Source organism: Homo sapiens, chromosome 21 (genome assembly GCF_000001405.40).
Source record: "Homo sapiens chromosome 21, GRCh38.p14 Primary Assembly".
NCBI classification, from domain to species: domain Eukaryota; kingdom Metazoa; phylum Chordata; class Mammalia; order Primates; family Hominidae; genus Homo; species Homo sapiens.
The window spans coordinates 10,600,175-10,607,573 of NC_000021.9; the positions used below are offsets into that span (position 1 = coordinate 10,600,175).

General features: G+C 39.0%; 1 protein-coding gene across 4 annotated transcripts in view; it reads left to right on the top strand.

Moving 5' to 3' along the window:
- TPTE (transmembrane phosphatase with tensin homology) overlaps window positions 1-5,542 on the top strand; it is an 84,134-nt gene extending 78,592 nt beyond the window's left edge. For all 4 annotated transcript variants that reach the window (NM_199261.4, NM_199259.4, NM_199260.4 and 1 more), the window contains 3 exons: window positions 1,884-1,976; window positions 3,388-3,458; window positions 5,243-5,542. In NM_199261.4, the coding sequence (NP_954870.3) occupies window positions 1,884-1,976; window positions 3,388-3,458; window positions 5,243-5,378 (300 nt within the window). In that variant the 3' untranslated portion in view covers window positions 5,379-5,542. The remainder of the gene's footprint in view (window positions 1-1,883; window positions 1,977-3,387; window positions 3,459-5,242) is intronic.

Sequence of the window (7,399 nt, forward strand, 5' to 3'; positions counted from 1 at the left end):
TGTTACCCAGGCTGGAGTGCACTCTCGCAATCTCAGCTCACCACAACCTCTGCCTCCTGGGTTCAAGCGATTCTCCTGCCTCAGCCTCCCAAGTAGCTGGGATTACAGGCATGTGCTACCACACCTGGCTAATTTTGTATTATTAGTAGAGACGGGGTTTCTCCGTGTTGGTCAGGCTGGTCTCAAACTCTTGACCTCAGGTGATCTGCCCACCTCAACCTACCAAAGTGCTAGGATTACAGGCTTGAGCCACTGTGCCTGGCCCATTTTTCTAATTTCTACTTTGTGTTATTGCTGGTCTTTTTCCCTCCATTTGGACTAGATTCTGTTTTCAGAGCTCTTCTTCCTTTATCTAAACTGCTTCATGCCCAATTCAATTTCTACCTCCTTAATGAAATTTTTGCATTCTGCACCTTCTGTTAACTAGCCCCCAATAGTGCATAACAGCACACCCAGTCTTTATCATACAGATTGAGTTATGTACCATTCTACTATTGTTTCTTAAGTGTACAGCTCCCTGAAGGGGCCAACTGAGTCTGCACCCCCTTTTGTGTTTTTCACAGGGCCTAGTATAGACCTTTCTTATTGTGGGTGCCATTATTTCTATGAGAATGAGTCAAAGAACTAGTACAGCGTCAAAGTCATTCATTCCAAAACTTGAGCTATCTTTGGTTACTCCATCCAGCAGCCTGCACTGGTCAAGTTCAAAGATCCCATTGACAAACACAAGAGTTCTGATAAAACATGATGAGCAGGGGGACCCCACTCTCCCCCTCCCTTGGGAGGAGCATGCTGGCCCAACCCCCAAGTGTTACAGACCCCCGTTGTTATTTTTTAAATTCAGAAAATAAAAAACCGTGATAAGTTATGCATTGCTTTTTGAATGTCAATGCTAGCTTTAAAATTGACCTTCTTAATGTATTCTCAAAAAAGGCCCTAACACATAAAAATCAAATGACACACATTAAATAATAATATTTAATTGATTACAGTCTAATGGAAAATTCAATACTTTTTAAAAGTGCGGCACTTTTGAAAAGTGCCTCATAGCTGGGCACGGTGGCCCATGCCTGTAATCCCAGCACTTTGGGAGGCCAGGGCAGGTGGATCACGAGGTCAAGAGATCGAGACCATCCTGGTCAACATGGTGAAACCCCGTCTCTACTAAAAATACAAAAATTAGCTGGGCATGGTGGCACGTGCCTATAGTCCCAGCTACTTGGGAGGCTGAGGCTGGAGAATCAGCTGAACCTGGGAGGCAGAAGTTGCAGTGAGCCGAGATCATGCCACTGTAGCCTGGCGACAGAGTGAGACTCTGTCTCAAACAAAAAAAAAAGAAAAGAAAAGTGGTTCATGATAACCCTCAAATATGTTGGCCTTTAAAAGACATAAACAACAGGCCAGGTGCAGTGGCTCATGCCTGTAATCCAGTACTTTGGGAGACCCAGGTGGGCAGATCACTTGAAGCAGGAGTTTGAGACCAGCCTGCCTAATATAGTGAAACCCCATCGCTACTAAAAATTCAAAAATTAGCTGGGTATGATGGCATGTGCCTATAGTCCCAGCTACTTGGGAGGCTGAGGCACAAGAATCACTTGAACCTGGGAGGCAGAGGTTGCAGTGAGCCGAGATCATGCCACTGCACTTCAGCCTGGGTGACAGTGAGACTCTGTCTCAGAAAACAAAAAGCAAATGTAAACACACACGCATAAACAACAGTATTGCAACTAGAAGAGATTATTAATAATTATTTATGTATGTAGTGATTGGGCTGTGAGACCAAAAGTACTTGATAAATACAGGAAGTCATGATAAGTGAAAAGGAACTTCATTGTTATCATTATCTAGGTTTATAGTTCTCAATTCCATGTGTTCATTCATAGGTACTTGATAACATTACAACAGACAAAATATTAATTGATGTATTCGACGGTCTACCTCTGTATGATGATGTGAAAGTGCAGTTTTTCTATTCGGTGAGTAATCACAAAGTAGCCTCTGCCATTGTTCTTGTCTGGTCTAATGATTTCATGTAAGATTTGCTTTACTACAATTCCCAACAAGGGAGGGGTAGGGGGAAGAAAACAATAAATCAGATCTATAACAAATTTTTTTAAAAGAGCGTATGTAATTTAAATAATTTTTGTTCATTTGTTTTTTTCTAAATTGTAAATTTTCTAAATTTTTCTAAATTTACATGTATTCTCAAATACAAAAAATACAAAATAAACACACACACAAAGTCAAGATGCTAAAAAAAAAAAACCCCAAAGGTATGTTTTACTGCATAGCATTGATTACATTTTGTTTTGCATCTTTTTTAAAAAATTAAGAAATTGAGACAGGGTCTCACTGTGTCACCCAGGCTGGAGTGCAGTGACGTGATCATAGCTAACTGTAGCTTCAACCTCCTGGGCTCAAGCAATCCTCCCACCTCAGCCTCCCGAGTAGCTGGGAGCACTGACTGGAAAGAGAGTTAGGTTTGGGTGACTCAGTTGGGTGAAACAGAGAAGGCAGCACAATACAACACATGAAATAACCGAAGCAGTTTTTTATTAATTCCAGAGAGAGGAGGGCAGCACACTTCGCAGGGCCAACTAGAAGGGGGAGCCATCCAGGAGACCTGTGCTCGACTGATGGGTGGGAGCAATAGCGAGAGAGAGGGAGGGACCTGAGAGTGGAAGCCTTTATTGGGATGTAAGGTGCTACCTGAGCAGGTTTCCTGCGGGGAGGTCTAATTTGGTTTAATGCAAGCAGCTATGAGTCTCTGCTGTGACTGAGAGGTGGTCACTGATATATCCACATGGTCCCTGCAGAGTATGGGGGTCTGTGGGGTGAGTCAAGTAGGTTATATTTAGCTGTCCCATAGTGAAGTGGTCATCATGAGAAGGTTGTGTAAGGCAGATATCAGGATCAGTCACATGGAGAAACTGGGAGGAGGTGAACGGGAAACTGCTGCGGGTGACTGAACCCCGCTTCTGATATCAGAAAATCCAATTTATAATTAAAAGGGATGCTGAGGCAACAAAAAAATTACAAGAATTCACTACAATGTAGTTGGGTATATATAGACATAGGTCCTTAGTAGAGTCTGTTTGGCACTATCTAAACCAGATTCAAATAGCAGCATTTAAATTAAATACCTATCATGGGAAAAATACTATTCCTTGAAAATTTTGATAGAAACAGCAAGAGAATGCAGTAGCATTTTCTTAAAGCCTCCTCCTTTGTGTCTTGAGTGTATTGTTATAGATTGCAGAGTGCCACATATTTAATGGTTATAATTGTTTGATAAATATAAAAAAGAATAAAGAAAGGAACTTCAATTTCTTTGGAATGATTAGTTCTTGGTATCAGTTTTACTTTGAAATTTTTTTTTCTTTTTAGAATCTTCCTACATACTATGACAATTGCTCATTTTACTTCTGGTTGCACACATCTTTTATTGAAAATAACAGGTATGAATATAATAGAAACCCATAGAAACAGCCTAATCTTCAATGTCTATGTATAAGGTGTAATGGCAAGTCTTTTGCTGGTTGTCATAAACTTAATTTATAGAAAGCAAAAAATCCTTGAACCACCATTGTTCCTTGCCTTACTCTTCTTACTTTGGTTATTTTAAAAATCCATTTGTTCTTGAGACCCACTGTTGCAGTATCCTCAGGGTCCATGCCATAGGACTGTGTTACGAGTTCAAAAGTATTATCATCAGATCTTAAGTGTGGTAGTAAATTCCTCCCAGAGAAGTTCAATATGAGGCTGCTCAGCACCTTCAATATGTCAGGTCCCTGTCAGTAGGTGTTGATTTACCAATGATGAACCACCATCAACTTTTGTGCTAAAGGAAGGCAGGACCTAGGGAGGCTTCAGCTAGCTGAAAAGCTGACTGACACACTTATATCTAGGAGAAGTCACAAGACACAGTATTAAGGAATACAGCTAAGAAATATCATTAAGTAATAGTCTATTTAAATAGCCATTCAAATATGGCTTTCTAATAACTGAATTGGGAAACCTTTCTGAAAAATTATTAATTGGATTTGGAGATTATTGTTCCAAAAAAACCTTCTGCCATATTTGGAAACTCATTTCTCAGTCTAGAAGTTCTCCACTGTAAGTAGCATTTGTTTTGTGATGGTGAAAAATTGAGACTTTTTTTGTGTCAACCATACTCTTCAATACAAAAGGACAAAATATTTTTTAAATGATTTAGGTCAGAGTTGAAGAAGTGGCTATGATTATATGTGGCATGAATTGATAGTTATTGTTACATCCAGTCCTAATCTTTTCTTCAAATGTGAACTGGATCGAATGATTCCTTAAGTCCAGCAAGGCAACAGGAAATTAAACCTCTGGTCTGCACACTTGCAATGCAAAACATTTAATGGATTTTGATAGAGTCAACTTTGTATTTGATGGAAATTTTTTACAAGTTTTTTTTTTTGGATGCATACAAACAATAAGCTTTTTATTCTAACATGAGCAAAGACCCTCAAAAAGTGAGACCTGGGTGGAGCTTCATTTGATGCTGCTCCTCAAAAGTGGTTCTTGCTAAAGGATACCATTTTTTTTTTCCTTTAAAACACTATGTTCATTTTGGAGAAGTGATAAGCTAGGTCACTTTTATTCTTATTTTATATAAATTTCTAAAGATTTCTGTAACATTTAAATTTACATCCTACTTGGTAAAGCTGTTTTTGTTATGAGATTGTTGTTTAGCTAAAAATGCTAACTTCTATCATTGAGAACACGAGGCATAAATGGGTTAACCAATTTATGCCTAGTGTTCCATTATTGGAACACTCAGCATGTGGGAGTTATATCCTACTGCTCAAGGTCATTTCCAAGGTCTGATTGTAAAAATTCAAAAAATTGCAACCTCACACATAAATTAAAAGAGATATAGTATTTTATTACTGGGCTTTCATTCATGTCTATCCTGACTGATTTCTGTCACAGAGAGAAATTTAGATATTTTATTAAACTTGGATGTCATTAATTCCATATAAAGCAATGCTAAGAGAGTCAGCATGTGTTACTGATGTGTTGCTGAAGATTAAAGTATTTTTATGTCTCAGTAAAAAGGTGGAAGGAGCCAACTGAGACACAAAAAAAGGGCTGAGGTTCTATTCATGGTGAGGTTCTTTTTTTGTTTCTTCCAGCTCTAACGTGGGTACCCAACTGTGTGGCTTTTCAGTGAGCCCCAATATAAAATGTAATAATTTTTTTCTATTCTTAGGCTTTATCTACCAAAAAATGAATTGGATAATCTACATAAACAAAAAGCACGGAGAATTTATCCATCAGATTTTGCCGTGGAGATACTTTTTGGCGAGAAAATGACTTCCAGTGATGTTGTAGCTGGATCCGATTAAGTATAGCTCCCCCTTCCCCTTCTGGGAAAGAATTATGTTCTTTCCAACCCTGCCACATGTTCATATATCCTAAATCTATCCTAAATGTTCCTTGAAGTATTTATTTATGTTTATATATGTTTATATATGTTCTTCATAAATCTATTACATATATATAGATAAAATGTCAGTGTCTTTCTTCTTTTTTGAAGGTACATACTTCACAGTTTCCATCTTGTATTTACCTAAATTTGGAACACAGTATGCAGGAACATCAGGCATCATTTTGAAGAACTTTGAAATAGAACTTTCAAAGCAAAAACTTGAGATATTCAAAAATTGTGATTCCCCAACACCCACTTACTTACATATTTTTGGTCAAGTATTTATTCCCTGCTTTGGTTCACATTTGTAATTTCAGATTTATTAGAAAGCTAATTTATATATTTTTCTTCCCCTTCATTTACAAACTGTCTGTTAACAGATTGGCAACCAAGACTAAGTTTTAAATCCAGAAGAGAGAAATGTTTCACGCAAGCAGTCCCCCAACTCCCAACACACACTCCCTTTCATTCCGAGCACTAAATAGGTAGCTTACTTGACAAGCTTCCTTTAATTACACACAGACATGGAGGTTGGGGTAAGAAGATGGTGGTAAATATGAAGATAAGTAATCTTTAATAACTTCTGCTTTTGTATAAAATTGTAAGTGAAGTGAAAAGAAATATTCTTAGAGTAATCTAGGTGTATTATTTTGAAATTCACTATTCCTGCTCACAACCAACTTCACCTAAGCTTGGGGGACTCTGAAGGGAGGTTATCTTTGCGTTATAAACACTGGTTAGCCTTATGTCTACAGGAAATCATTATTATTTCCTCTTTGGTGCTGGGTGCTACTTTTTTTTAACAAATTTTTTATTTGTATTTTTTATTTTTTGAGACAGCATCTCACTCTGGTTGTCGAGACTGGAGTGCAGTGGTGTGATCTTGGTTCACTGTAGCCTCAACCTCCCAGGCTCAGGTGATTCTCCCACCTCAGCCTCCTGAGTAGCTGGGACTACAGGCGCATGCCAGCACACCCAGCTAATTTTTTGTATTTTTATTAGAGACGAGGTTTTGCCGTTGTTGACCAGGCTGAGCTCAAATTCCTGAACTCAAGCAATCTGCCTGCCTCAGCCACCCAAAGTGCTGGTATTAAGGCATGAGCCACCAGGCCCAGTCCATGGGTGTTAATTCATTCAAAATACCTTTATTGCCACTGTATCTTCCGGCCATGATTGTCCTTGAAAACCTTCTATCTTGGCTTTATTGAAATTATTCTTATTTGAATGATTTTCCTTTTATTGGCAAGTCCCTCAACAATCTAGACCAAGATTCGTTCATCAGGAAATGAAAGGTAACAACTAATAAGACAAGTGTCACTGCTAAAACACGATAAACTCATTCCTGAAAAACCTAGCACTCTACAGAAAGGACTGAAAAAAGAAGCAGTTCATGAAAATACAGGGTTTGAGAGTCCAGGGCAAACCTGTCTGGCATAGCAACTTTCTAACCAACACACTAACCGCTGGGACCACCCACATCAGCAGCTCAATGTCGGGAGTTTGCCATAGAGCTTTTTAATTTTTGAGTGGAAATAGAAAAACACTTGCTATAAGGTCTGTGGGTACCAAGTGGCACAGATGAGAGTAGAGCCCTGAGCCATGGTGGGCACGGAAGGCAGCAACCTGCCAGGAGCCAAGAGCCCCACTAGGTTGGTGAGCCGCCTCGCTGCAGGTGACTTCTTCTCCTCTAAATAGTCCAAAAAAGGTTCCAACTGCCCGTGCAGCAGCCCAACTAAAGGTCTTTTTCCTTTACTCCCCCTGATCTGGCTCCTTCTTTGAGGAAAAGATCGTAGAACATGCTTTCAAATTACTTTCATGTTAATATTATACCCTGCCATACATACGACAGAAACGTGTAGGCACAACATAGGTTATGCTATTTCCTTTAAAATTCACACAGCGATAATCTACAGAGGGCAGATTATGTCCTGGGTTTAG